Genomic DNA, 14,768 nt, shown 5'->3' with positions numbered 1-14,768 from the left:
TCCTCTATGTCTTGTCATGGCTTGATAGCTCATTTCTTTTTAGTGCTGAATAATGTTCTATTTCTGGACATATCAAGTTTATCCATTCACCTACTGAAGGATATCTTGGTTGCTTCCAGCTTTTGGCAATTATGAGTAAAGCTGCTATAAACATTTGTATGCAGGTTTTTCTTTAGACATGTTTTCATCTTCTTTGGGTAAATACCAAGGAGTGCAGTTGCTGGATCACATGGCATGAACATGTTTAGTTTTGTAAGAAACTGCCAAACTGTCTTCCAAAGTGGCTGTACTACTTTGCATTCCCACCAGCAATGAACGAGCATTCCTATTGCTCCACATCCTTGTCAGCATTTGATGTTGTCAGTGTTTTGGATTTTAGCCATGCTAGTGGGTGTACAGTGGTGTGTTTTAATTTGCAACCTCTAATGACATGAGAGTTGAGCATCTTTTCATGTGTCCTATTTCCCATCTGCATTTCTTCTTTGGTGAGGTGTCTGTTCAGATCTTTTGCTTATTTTTTAATTGAGTTGTTTGTTTTCTTTTTCTTTTTATTTTCTTTTCAGAGCTCCTCTCAAGAAAGGAGGGCTGTCTGTTTTCTTATTGTTGAGTTTTAAGAGTTCTTTGTTTATTTTTGATACCACTTCTTTATCAGATATTTGTTTTGCAATTATTTTCTCCCAGTCAATGGCTTGTATTTTTGCCTTCTTGAAAATATCTTTCACAAAGCAAAAGTTTTAGTTTTACTCAAGTCTAACTTCCCAAATTTAAAAAATATTTTTAATTGATATATAATGATTTTACATATTTATGGGGTTACATGTGATACTCCAGTACATGTATACAATGTGTAATGATCAAATCAGGATAATTAGCATATTCATCACCTCAAACATTTATCATTTATTTGTGTTGGGAACATTCAAAATTCTCTCTTCATGGCTGGGTGCTGTGGCTCACACCAGTAATCCCAGCACTTTGGGAGGCTGAGGAGCGTGGATCACCTGAGGTCAGGAGTTCGAGACCAGCCTGGCCAACATGGTGAAGCCCTATCTCTACTAAAAATACAAAAAATTAGCCAGGCATGGTGACGTATGCCTGTAGTCCCAGTTACTTGGGAGGCTGAAGTGAGAGAATTGCTTGAACCTGGGAGGCGGAGGTTTTTGGCCAGGCTGGTCTCGAACTCCTGACCTCAGGTCATCTGCCCACCTCAGCCTCCCAAAGTGCTGGGTTTACAGGCTTGAGCCACTGCACCTGGCCAATTATTATTAACTATAGTCACTCTTCTGTGCTATGGAACACCAGAACTTATTCCTCCTATCTGTGATTTTGTACCTGTTAACCAGCCTCTCCTTTTCTCCCCATCCCCTGGCCCTTCCCAACCTCTGGTAACCACTGTTCTACTTGGTACTTCCATGAGGTTAACTTTTTTTTTTTTCCTATTTATTTATTTATTTATTTTTGAGGCAGAGTCTCACTCTGTCGCCCAGGCTGGAGTGCAGTGGCACAATCTTGGCTCACTGCAACCTCCACCTTCTGGTTCAAATGATTCTCTTGTCTCAGCCTCCCGAGTAACTGGGACTAGAGACACGCACCACAATGCCCATCTTATTTTGGAATTTTTAGTAGAGACAAGGTTTCACCATGTTGGCCAGGCTGATCTCGAACTCCTGACCTCGGTGATCTGCCCACCTCGGCCTCCCAAAGTGCTGTGATTACAGGCATGAGCCACCATGCCCAGCCTTATTTGTTTATTTTCTTAGAGACAGGGTCTCACTATATTGCCCAGGCTGGTCTGGAACTCCTGGGCTCAAGCAGTCTTCCTGCCTTAGCCTCCCAAAGTGCTGCGATTACAGGCATGAGCCATTGCACTAGGTAGGATCAACTTTTTGTACTCCTACACATAAGTGAAAATGTGGTATTTGTCTTTCTATACATTGCATATTTTACTTAAAATAATGCCCTGCAGGGTCAATGATGCTGCAAATGACAGGATTTCTTTTTTCTTTCTTTTTTTTGAGACAGAGTCTCGCTCTGTTGCCCAGGGTGGAGTCCAGTGGTGTAATCTGGGCTCACTGGAACCTCTGCCTCCCGGTTTCAAAGGATTCTCCTGCCTCAGCTTCCTGAGTAGCTTGGATTACAGGGGCCTGCCACCACACCCAGATAATTTCTTTTGTATTTTTAGTAGAGATGGGGTTTCACCACATTGGCCAGGGTGGTCCTGCACCCCTGATGTCAAGTGATCCGTCTGCCTTGGCCTCCCAAAGTGCTGGGATTACAGGTGTGAGCCACCATGCCTGGCCTGCAAATGACAGGATTTCATTCATTTGTAGCTGAATAATTTTCCATTATATATATGCCACATTTTCTTTATCCATTCATCTCTTGAAGGATGTTTAGGTTGATACCTTATCTTCAGTATTGTGAATAGTGCTGCAATAAACATAGGAGTGCAGCTATCTCTTTGACATACTGATTCTCTTTCCTTTGGGTATATACCAAGTAGTGGGATTGCTGGATCATATGGTATTTCTATTTTCAGTTTTTTGAGGAATGTTCATACTGTTTTCCATAATGGCTGTATTAATTTACATTCTCACCAACAGTATATAAGAGTTCCCCTTTCTCTGCCTCCTTGCCAACATTTGTTATTTTCTCTTTTTGATAATAGCCATTTTAAACTGGTGTGAGATGATATATATCATTGGGGTTTTGCATTTCTCTGATAATGAGTGATGTTGAACATTTTTCGTATACCTGTTCGTCATTTGTATATCTTTCCTTGAGAAATGTCTATTCAGATCATTTACCTATTTTTTAATTGGATTTGGGTGTTAAATTGTTCAATTCTCCCCATGTTATATTTATATATATAATATTCCCTTCCCCTCCCCTCCTTGTCTTTTTTTTTTTTTTGAGATGGAGTCTTGCTGTATCACCAGGCTGGAGTGCAGTGGTGTGATCTCGACTCACTGCAGCCTCCGCCTCCCGGGTTCAAGCAATTCTCCTGCCTCAGCCTCCCAAGTAGCTGGGACTACAGGCACGTGCCACCACACCCAGCTAAGTTTTTGTATTTTTAATAGAGACGGGGTTTCACCATGTTGTTGGGCAGGATGGTCTCAATCTCCTGACCTCGTGATCCACCCGCCTCGGCCTCCCAAAGTGCTGGAATTACAGGCGTGAGCCACCGCGTCTGACCTGTTCTCTTCTTTTCGTTGATATGGATTCTCACTCTGTCACCCAGGCTGGAGTGCAGTGGTGTGATCATAGCTATTTGCAGCCTCAACCTCCAGGGCTCAAGTGATCCTTCTTCCTAAAATGTCAAAAATTTTTAATTTTTTGTAGAGACGTGGTCCTGCTATGTTGCCTAGGCTGGTCTCAAACTCCTGGATTCAAGCAATTCTCCCACTTCAGCCTTCCAAAGTGTTGAGATTATAGGCATGAGCCACCATGCCTGGCTCTTTTTATTTTCTTTAAAGTGCCTTTCACAGAGCCTAAGTTTTTCATTTTAGTCAAGTCCCACTTCCCAAATTAAAAAAAAAAAATGAATTGTGTTTTAGTACTGTAAACCCAAGGTCATCTAGGTTTTCTTCTATGTTATCCCCTAAAATTTTTATTTATTTATTTATTTATTTATTTATTTTTGAGATGGAGTTTTGCTCTGTTGCTCAGGCTTGTGTACAGTGGCACGATCTTGGCTCACTGCAACCTCTGACTCCTGAGTTCAAGCAATTCTCCTCCCTCAGCCTCCTGAGTAGCTGGGGTTACAGGTGCCTGCCATCACGCCCAGCAAATTTTTGTATTTTTAGTAGAGATGAGGTTTTGCCATGTTGGCCAGGGTGGTCTTGAACTTCCGACCTCAGGTGATCCACCTGCCTCGGCCTCCCAAAGTACTGGGATTGGAGGCGTGAGCCACCGTGTCCGGCCTTCTCTAAAAATTTTATAGTTTTCCATTTTATATTAAGTCAGCAGTCCATTTTGAGTTAATTTTTGTGCAGGGTGTAAGGTCTGTGTCTAGATTCTTTTTTTTAGCATATGCACGTCCAGTTGTCCAGTGCTAGAACTAGCACTGTATGTTGAAACAACTTCTTTCTCCATTGCTGTTCCTTGTTCCTTTGTCAACGAACATGTGAGTATATTTGTGTGAGTCTATTTCTGAGCTCTCTATTCTGTTCCATTGATCTATTTGTCTTTTCTGTCACCAATATCACACTGTCTTGATTACTGTGGCTTTATAATAAGTCTTGAAGTTGGGTAGTATCAGTCTTCCAACTTTGTTCTTCTCCTTCAATATTGCATTGGTTATTCTGGGTCTTTTGTCTTTCCCCATGAGCTTTAGAATCAGTTTGTCAATGTCCACAAAACAGTTGGCTGGGATTTTGTTTGGGATTATGTTGTATCTATAGATTAAGTTAGAAAGAATTGAGCTCTTGACAATATTGAGTCTTCTTAGACTTATATGTGGAATATCTCTCCACTTATTTAGATCTTTTTTGATTTGTTTTATCACAGTTTTGTAGTTTAAGTTTTCCTTATATATATTTTATACTTTTGTTAGATTTATACCTAATATTTCTTTTTTGGGTTGCTAATGTGAATGGTATTGTATTTGTAATTTCCAACTGCAATTTTTTATTGCTGGTATATAATAAAACAATTGACTTTTTATATTAATCTTGTACCCTGCAATCTTGCTATAATTGTTTATTAGTTCCAGGAGTTCTTTTTTGTTGATTCTTTGGGATTTTCTTCGTAGACAATTACGTCGTCTGTGAACAAAGTTTTATTTTTGCCTTTCCAATCTGTATACCTCTTATTTCCTTTTCTTGTCTTATATTAGCTAAGACTTGCAGTCTATGTTGATTAAGAGTGGTGAGAGCAGGCTGGGCGTGGCGGCTCATGCCAGTAATCCCAGCACTTTGGGAGTCCGAGGCGGGCGGTTCACCTGAGGTTGGGAGTTTGAGACCAGCCTGACCAACATGGAGAAACCCCTTCTGTACTAAAAATACAAAATTAGCAGGGTGTGGTGGCTTATGCCTGTAATCCCAGCTACTCGGGAGGCTGAGGCAGGAGAATTGCTTGAACCTGGGAGGCGGAGGCTGCAGTGAGTTGAGATCGCACCACTGCACTCCAGCCTGGTGATAGAGCAAGACTCCTTCTCAAAAAAAAAAAAAAAAAAAACATAATAAGAGTGGTGAGAGCAGACATCTTTGCTTTGTTTCTGATTTTAGGGGGAACGTGTTTAGTTTCTCTCCACGAATTATAATAATCTCAATATATTATTCTATATTTGGTAGTATAAAAATTGTCAAGTACTGCTTATATCAGATCATAGGAGCACTCCATTCTCTTTCCCTCCATTCCTTCACTTTGCCTTAACTTTTATGAGAAAGATGGGATTAAATGGATGGTCATAAAAGTTTTTTAAATTATGGGATTCAGGCAGTTTTAATATATAATACCTTCTATTTTCTTTAGTTTCTCTATTCTGAACTTCTGGAGGGCAAAGACTATACCTCAGTATATTGTTGCAAGCGTTGTAGTTCCCAATATGTACTACAATGCCCTGTTGAATGTAAAACCTAATTCTAGACTCTTACTGTAAACCTCTATCTTATTTGAAAAGGCAGATAGCCAGTGAAGTCAGTCATCTAATCGGTTAATCAATTCATCAAATATTTGATTGTTAGCTCCAAGGTATTACATTGGCTACAAAGATACACATGATAATGATACTTCCTCTCTGGAAACTTATTATTCATATAAGAATAATTTCAAGTGCTGTGTTCCATTTTTACTGATATGTATTTGTCAAAAACTCATATTCCTGTATCTCTTCCCAAGTATTCTAATTGAAATGCCTATGTGTGAACTTCTTCCATAGTCCCTAAAAGGTTTACAATTTTGTTGGAGGAACTGATATTAATGAACCTATAATAGGTGCTGGACACTGTGCTAGGTGCTTTACGTATTCTGCCTTATCTCATTTATCTTCAAAGCTGTTGAATAAGGTAAATATTCTTAATTTACAGGTGCAAAAACGATAATATGAAGGTATAAGTAACCTATTCGCTGTGTGACTTAGTGGGATAGGTATATGAGGTATATAAGTCCATAGCCCAAGTTCTTTATGTCACACACTATGGAAAAGTTACCATACAAAGTGGTATATGATGAATGCTACTTGTATAGTGCATACACATGCTTGGTGAATGCAGAGAAGAGAGCTTTGACCTCAGGCTAGGGTGTTCACAAAATTTCTGGAAAGCTTAATCTTGTCTGATAGGAGGAATAGGAGGAAAGAGAGATCAGGGAAATCAATCAGTGAGAAGAAGATGGAGGGCCAAAAACAGTGAATATTTTGTGATTGACAGTATACAAATTTCTACTGTGGCAGTAAAATACACTAGAACAAATTTTGTCTTTTATTTTCAATGAGGATCCTTCTTCTCCATTTTTCTGTTAAACAAAATAATTTTTCCCTAATTTGCTTATGGGGTATTGGGTATGAGAAAGTAGATCACAGAACCTTTGCATAACTCCAGAGTTATCAGTCCCCAAATTCATCTTTTTCCATTGGATTAGCACAGTCAGGGCAGCAGTAATTGAGGGAGCAAAAGCCTGGGGGGAAAATGGAAGATCAAAGGAATCCTAAGAAAAGGATTTTCCTAGTGTCAAGTGTATTTTATTTATCCCTTCTCCATATCTCAGTTGGTTAAGTACCTCACAAATACCCATAAATATGTGAAAAGCTGTGGAGTTACAGAGGCTTGTAGGAGGCATCATTGCTTTCAATGAACTTAGTATTTAGTTGGAAAGACAAAAGTAAAGTAAAATAATTGGTAAACCACTGAGCATCCTTAAGTGAAATTTAAATGAAAAACATCCTTAAATGATGTTTTTCAGGATTCTTTTCTCCTAGTCTCATGACTTCAATTTCTAAATACTTTCACATCTCTATCTCTAGTCCACATCTCCTGTCTAAACTATATGTGTGTCCAGACGCCTTTTGGACGTCTTGGTTTGCACAATACCACAGTCTTCTCAACTTATTTAAAACTTGCCCAATCTGCTCTTCTTAACTCAGTGAATGGTATCACCATCACCCATTGCCCGAGCTAGACACTGGGAATCAAGTTTTTGCAGTTCTTTCTCTTGTTTCTTCACCACATGTTCTGTTGACACTGTTTCCTAATTACCTGTAAGATCCATCCACTTCTTTTTATTGCCTCTGCTACTATCCTAATTTAGACTATAGCCACCTCTCATTTAAATTATTTGCAAAGGCCTCTTAACCAGTTGCCTGTGCTATCTTCACACCTTCAGACTACAAAAATCACAGATTGTGTGCTGGGCAGGGTAGCATGTACCTGTGGTCCCTGCTACTCTGGAGGCTGAGGCAGGAGGATGACTTGAGCCAAGGCATTCGAGACCAGCCTGGGCAACAAAATGAGACCCCCTCCTATCAAAAAACAAACGAAAACACCAACCCAGATTGCTTAAAATCCTTACCTGTGTTCCTACTTGTTCTGCTTCATCTGGCCTTCTTGCTTCTCCAGCTTTAACTTGCTTTCCCCTACTTGAAACCAGCCTTACTGAACTTCAGATGTATCGTGCTGTCTTGCCTGTGAGACTGGACAGGCATATTCCCCGTCTGAGAAGGGAAATAATCACTATAGCGATTAAAGCACAGACTCTTTAGCCAGACTACTTAAGTTTGAATTCTGGATCGCCACTTAATGAGCTTTGTGATATAGAGCGAGTTACTTAGTCTACCTGCTTTCAGTTTCCTCATCTGTATAATGGGGATGGTTAATAGTACCTGCTTCATAGCACGTTGTAGGGATTGTAAGAGTTTTGTATGCTTTGAGACAAGGTCTCGCCCTGTCGCCCAGGCTGGAGTACAATGATGTGATCACAGCTCACTGCAGCCTTGACCTCTCAGTTCAAGCTGTTCTCCCACCTCAGCCTCCTGAGTCACTGGGACTACAGGCATGTGCCACCATGTCCAACTCATTTTTGTATTTTTTTGTAGCGACAGGGTCTCATTGTGTTGCCCAGGCTAGTCTTGAACTCTTGGGCTCAAGTAATCCTCCCGCCTCAGCCTCCCAAAGTTTTGAATTAACAGGCATGAGCCACTGTGCCCAGCCTAAAAGAGTTAATATAGTTGAGGCTTTTTTTTTTTTTTTTTTTTTTTTTGAGACAAAGCCTTGCTCTGTGGCCCAGGCTGGAATGCAGTGGCACAATCTTGGCTCTCTGCAAACTCCACCTCTCAAGTTCAAGTGATTCTTGTGCCTCAGCCTCCTGAGTAGCTGGGACTGTAAGGCACGTGCCACCATGCCTGGCTAATTTTTGTAGTTTTAGTAGAGATGGAGTTTCACTATGTTGGCCAGGCTAGTCTCGAATTTCTGGCCTCAAGTGATCTGCCTGCCTCGGCCTCCCAAAGTGCTGGGATTACAAGTGTGATGCACCGCGCCTGGCCTAGTTGAGGCTTTTAGTCGGTCCCTGCCATATAGTAAGTACCATACAAGTGTAGCTATTATTATAAATCTTATTGTAAATGTGTTGTATTGGATAGTATTACTTTTTGTTTTAATGTTGATTTAATGGTAAATGGAAAAATGCTGTTGCCCTCCATAAGTTCCCAGTTGATTGGCTCATTATTATTGGTATTTATTCTGCTTTGGCAGTAGCTTTCTTTTCCTAACTTCTTGTTTTTCAGCTTTTTAGTGACTAGAATTTGGTCTTGGGTTGGCATTTCTATGAAATGGATCATTTAACGAGGTCAGGTTAACCTGACCTTTCATACAGGTGAATTCAGGTCAATTTATATGGAAACTTTTAAAAGAAAATGATTATTATACAAGTAGTTAATATTCATTATGGAAAAATCAAAAAGTATAGATAAGCATAAAGAAGGAAATAAAATTATCTCCAGTGTTAATATTTTATTTTACTTATTTATTTATGTTTTAGAGCTGGGTTTTGCTATAATGCCCAGGTTGGCCTTGAACTGCTGGGCTAGAGTGCAATGGTGCGATCATAGCTCACTGCAACTTCGAACTCCCAGGATCAAGCTATCCTACTGCTGCAGCCTCCTGAGTAGCTGGGACTGCAGGCATGTGCTACTATGCCTGGCTAATTTATATATATATATATATATATATTTTTTTTTTTTTTTTTTTTTTTTTAAGACGGAGTCTCACTCTGTTGCCCAGGCTGGAGTGCAGTGGTGCCATCTCGGCTCACTGCACGCTCCACCTCCTGGGTTCACGCCATCCTCCTGCCTCAGCCTCCCGAGTAGCTGGGACTACAGGCACCCGCCACCATGCCTGGCTAATTTTTTTTTTTGTATTTTTAGTAGAGATGGGGTTTCACCGTGTTAGCCAGAATGGTCTCGATCTCCTGACCTCGTGATCTGCCTGCCTTGGCCTCCTGAAGTGCTGGGATTATAGGCGTGAGCCACCATGCCTGGCCAAAATATTTTTTTAGTTTTTGTAGAGACAGGGTCTTGCTACGTTGACCAGGCTGGTCTCAAACTCCTGGGCTCAAGTGATCCTCCTGCCATGGCCTCCCTAAGTGCTAGGATTACAGGCATGGGCCATTATACCTGGCCCATCATTTTTTTTTTTAAGTATTTATTTTTCATTGATATTTATATTTGAGATGATTTCATGAAGACTTAAATCTTAAAATGCACCTAAGGGGAGAAGATTTTTGATTCAGTACTGTCTGATCTGATGATCTAGCTCTATCTGATCTGACAGGGTGGGATTTAAGAATGGCAAAATATTTATATTTTTCTCCTTCCCTCCAGAAGGAGGTACTTGCTTTTAGGTGAATTTCTAGATATAATTACCTTTACAATAAAAATACTGATGTTTGATCATCACTGTCATTTTAATTTTATTTTTCAGAATATATATATTTTTATCTTTGGAGTGTAGTTAAAAGACAGTTTTCTAGATTTTCTTATTACTGTGAAAATATTTTTTAAAATGACCAAGACTAATGAACAAGTTTATTTTGGTAACATGTTTAGTTCCTACTGTTTGCAAAGTACTTAGCTCCTAGAGAATATACAGAAATGAGCAAGATAGTCTCCTTCCTCATTTGGGGATGGGGTAAGGGAGATGAATCAATTCTAACTAATTATAATAAAGTATGGTAAGGTCCTTGAGAGAGTATTGAACAAAGCGCTTGCTCTACTAGTGATGCTCTCACAAATGTCATTAACTGTTAAATTCGATGAGCTCTTTTCCATTCTCTCCTATTTGACCTTGCTTCTACATTTGACACTTTTGCCCACCTACCCTTTAATGCTTGTTTCTTTGCTTCTGTACACCCCTTTCTTATTGTTTTTCATTGTTTTTCTTTTTAACTCCTTTTTGTTGCGGGGAGGTGGGGGACAGGGTCTTGCTCTGTAGCTCAGGCTGGAGTGTGGTAGCGCAAACATGACTCACTGCAGCCTCAACCTCTTGGGCTCAAGCGGTCCCCAACCTCAACATCCTGAGTAGCTGGGACCACAGGTGAGCACCACCATGCACAGCCAATTTTTAAATTTTTTTTAGAGATGGGGTCTTGCCACGTTGCCCAGGCTGGTCTCAAAACTCCTGGCCTCAAGCAATTCACCCACCTTGGCCTCCTAAAGTGCTGGGATTACAGATGTGAGCCACCATACTCGGCCTTCTCTTTAACTCTTTAACTGCTGCTTATTCGTTATTTCTCTCTTCAATTTTGTTATTAAGAAAAGTTCTGTAAAAGCAGAAAAGTTTACTTTAGAACAGTGAACACCTACATTCAGCTGCCTTGAATGCCTAGGTTCAATTGTTATTATCTTTCTATAAGTGCTTTATTTCTATGTACATATATGAATGGTTTTTGATGTACTTGAACAACCTGAAATTAATTTGTTGTTGTCATTACATGTCACACACAAATAGTTGAACCTATATCTCTTAAGAATAAGAACATTTGCTTGCATTACCATACCATTATCCTATATTTGACAGTTAATAAAAATTAAAAAATAAAATTAACCATATCATAATAATATTATGTAAATTCTGGTTCATAATTAAATTTCCCCAGGTGTCCCACAAGTAAACTTTTATAGCTATTTTTATTTGAACCACAATTTAGTCAAGTGTTTCGTGCATAGTATTTGATTGTTATATGCTTTGAGTCTCTTTTCATCTAGGTTATCCTTTTTTATGGCTCTCCTTTTCTAAGGGGAGGGGAGTCAACCCAATTTTCTTAGCATATCCCACATCCAGATTTGCTACTATCGGGGAATTTTAATAGTTTCCCTTTCTTCAGCCTTTTGTAGGATGGTGTTTACTGAAGAAGGGCGCCTGTGGCATGGGTGCTGTGAATGGGTTATGGGTCCTGTTAATTAATCCTCTAAATTCTTTGGCAACCAGTGGGGTTTAGGGCAGTGGAAGCCCATGGGTCCTTTTCTCTCTGCCCGTGTGTGGTTTTGTCTGTTTCTACCCTGGTGTCCAGAGTAGAAATAATAGCATTATGTGAGTGCCATCATGTGAAAGAGGTTTGGTTGCACTGACCACTATCTTTAGCCCTTTGGTTCTGTGTTCTTTCCCTTTGTGATCACAGTTACTTCTGTGGTTTTAACAGTCACCTCTATGGAGATGTTCTCTTTTCTGAACTCCAGTTCTGTTATTTTCTTTCATTCATATTCTACTGCCTCTTCAGTTGCTACTTCAAAATCAACATGTCCAAAACGAATTTATTCTCTACTTCCAAACTAGCCCATTGTCAGTATTATTTTTTCTTTTTTGTAAATGGACTTAATTTCACTGAGACAACACTTTGACTAGAAATCTCAGTTACCTTCAGCTGTTCTTTTGGCTGTCTGCCCAAGAAACATATATATACACATACACACACACACACGTAAATATACACATACATATATACACAAACATGTGCACACATATGCATACATATTCATTAAATATTTCTTGAATGCCTACAATGTACCTAAATATATTTGGCCACAGTAGATAATTTTTTTTTTTTTTTAAGACAGGGTCTTGCCCAGGCTGGAGTGCAGTGGCGCAATCTTGGCTCACTGCAACCTCCACTTTCCTGGCTCAAGTGATCTTCCAGCCTCAGCCTCCTGAGTATCTGGGACCAAGGGGCGAGCCACCACACCCAGCTCATTTTTGTACGTTTTTTTTTTTTTTGAGACAGAGTCTCGCTCTGTCTCCCAGGCTGGAATACAATGGTGCAATCTCGGCTCATTGCAACCTCTGCCTCCCGAGTTCAAGTAATTCTCCTGCCTTAGCCTCCTGAGTAGCTGAGACTACAGACACGCACCACCATGCCCAGCTAATTTTTGTATTTTTAGTAGAGACAGGGTTTCACTATGTTGGCCAGGCTGGTCTTGAACTTCTAACCTCAGGTGATGTGCCTGCCTCAGCCTCCTAAATTGCTGTGATTGCAGGTGTGTGCCACGCCTAGCTAATTTCGTATTTTTAGTAGAGACAGAGTTTCACCATGTGGCCCAGGCTGGTCTTGAACTCCTGATCTCAGTGATCTGCCTGCCTTGGTCTCCCAAAGTGTTGGGATCACAGGCATGAGCCACCGCATCTGGCCATAATAGATATATATTTTTTTCTCTGAAATGCCTCTTGAGTCCATTCCCTCCATTCTGACTACATTTACTCTAATTTTGGCCCTCATCCACCCTCCTCAAACTTCTACATTGATCCCCCTGCCTCTGGCTTTAAATCTTCTGATCTACCCTGCATACTATCTGCTTACTGAGAATACCTGTTTGATCATGTTTCTCTTGCTGGAAAACCTCTGATGGCTTTCGATAGTACAGGAAAAGTGCCAAGTTTTCAGCATACCATACAAAACTATGCTGATTCTGTCTGCTTTGCTCTTTTCTTGTGTTTTTTCACCTCTTGTATTCTAGCTGTATTTGTCTTTGGCTAATTGCTTGGATATAGCATGGATCTTAATCTTTGGACTTTGTCCACACGTTTCTGGTGTCTATAAGGCCCTGTCCTTTCCTCCTTTGCTCAGTGAAATCCTGCTTATCTCTCGGGACCCACTCAAATGTTCCTTTGAAAATTGTTTACCTGATAGCAGTCCCTGTCTATCCCCTCCACCACAACCAAGCCCTTCTATTCACTCATTATCTGATGTTCTTTGCATGTTTTTCTGTTATAGCATTTATTAGATTGTACCCTTTGCTTGTGTGTCTCTCTGTATAAAGACTCACAAGGGGCTAGGCATGGTGGCTCACGCCTATAATCCCAGCACTTTGGGAGGTGAGGCAAGCGGGTCACCTGAGGTCAGGAGTTCGAGACCAGCCTGGCCAACATAGCGAAACCCCATCTCTACCAAAAATACAAAAATTAGCTGAGCATGGTGGTGCATGCCTGTAGTCCCAGCTACTTAGGAGGCTGAGGCAGCAGAATAGCTTGAACCTGGGAGGCGGAGGTTGTAGTGAGTTGAGATTGTGCCACTGCACTCCAGCCTGGGCAACAAGAGCGAAACTTCATCTCAAAAAAAAAAAAAAAAGGATTCACAAGGGAAGGGATCAGCTCTTTCTGAAATTCCATCTCAAAAAAAAAAAAAATTCACAAGGGAAGGGATCAGCTCTTTCTTCCTCCTGTTCCTGGAACCTAGCACAGTGCTTGACACATGTTATGTGCTTAGTAACATATTTCTGAAATAAATGCCTCACATCACTTATTATATTACCTTCTGTTGCAAGTAAGTCTGACTTAAGATTCATGAATTCTCAAAGTAAGATAATGTTTTCTATAAAAAATTTAGTTTAGGCCAGGCAGGGTGGCTGACGCCTGTAATCCCAGCACTTTGGGAAGCCAAGGCGGGTGCATCACGAGGTCAGGAGATCGAGAGCATCCTGGCCAACATGGTGAAACCCTGTTTCTACTAAAAATGCAAAAAAATTAGCTGGGCATGGTTGCGCGTGCCTGTAATCCCAGCTACTTGGGAGGCTGAGGCATGAGAATCGCTTGAACCCAGGAGGCAGAGGTAGCATTGAGCTGAGATTGAGCCACTGCACTCCAGCCTGGTGACAGAGCGAGACTCCGTCTTGAAAAAAAAAAAAATTAGTTTAACTAAATATTTACTAATGATTGCAGTCTATTAATCATTAATGTTTTAAGCCTAAGCCTTAAAAGCAATGCCTGAAGTCTTAAGCATTACTGCAGATACATTTTTTAAAAATTCATTTCCCAGCAATAAGAATTTGCCATTTTTAGGCCAGGTGCGATGTCTCAGGCCTGTAATCCCAACACTTTGTGAGGTGGAGATGGGAGGATTGCTTGAGTCCAGGAGTTTGAGATCAACCTGGGTAACATAGCGAGACCCTGTCTTAAAAAGTAAAAAATAAATAATTAGCTGGGTGTGATGACCTGTGCCTGTAATCCCAGCTACTTGGGAGGCTGAGGCGGGAGGATTGCTTGAGCCTGGGAGGTTGAGGCTGCAGTGAGCCGTGATTACACCACTGCACTCCAACCTGGGTGACAGAGCAAGACCCTGTCTAAAAAAAAAAAAAAAGAATTTGCCAATTTTAGAAACAAATTAAGCATTAAATATTGATGATATGTAGTAATATATTTACCAATGCAACATTGAACTTGAGATTTTGGAAGTGCACTGACAGTTCAAGTAGTTGTTGACTAAAAAGTAAGAAGCTTGGGGAAATATTATCAACATATCCTAATTAATAAGATTTGAAGCATTAGTGGACCACTGGTGAAGTATAT

At 40.4% G+C, this 14,768-nt stretch overlaps 1 protein-coding gene across 15 annotated transcripts in view, besides 2 other annotated features; it reads left to right on the top strand.

The window, feature by feature from the left end:
- CDK19 (cyclin dependent kinase 19) overlaps window positions 1–14,768 on the top strand; it is a 205,878-nt gene that overhangs the window by 47,263 nt on the left and 143,847 nt on the right. The gene's annotated exons all lie outside the window — the stretch shown is intronic.
- Window positions 11,402–11,541: an enhancer, noted in NCBI's record as "active region_24936". NCBI's record gives its function as "activates an Ori minimal core promoter by ATAC-STARR-seq in GM12878 lymphoblastoid cells {active_cell/tissue: GM12878}" and the evidence as "EXISTENCE:reporter gene assay evidence [ECO:0000049][PMID:35858748]".
- Window positions 12,993–13,287: a silencer, noted in NCBI's record as "tiled region #10405; HepG2 Repressive DNase matched - State 5:Enh, and K562 Repressive non-DNase unmatched - State 7:EnhWF". NCBI's record gives its function as "represses a minimal TATA promoter and a strong SV40 promoter by Sharpr-MPRA in HepG2 and K562 cells {active_cell/tissue: HepG2 | K562}" and the evidence as "EXISTENCE:reporter gene assay evidence [ECO:0000049][PMID:27701403]".

Source organism: Homo sapiens, chromosome 6 (assembly GCF_000001405.40).
Source record: "Homo sapiens chromosome 6, GRCh38.p14 Primary Assembly".
Taxonomy (NCBI): Eukaryota; Metazoa; Chordata; class Mammalia; order Primates; family Hominidae; genus Homo; species Homo sapiens.
Note: the sequence above shows the minus strand (reverse complement) of the source record. Positions and strands in the feature narration are given on the sequence as shown.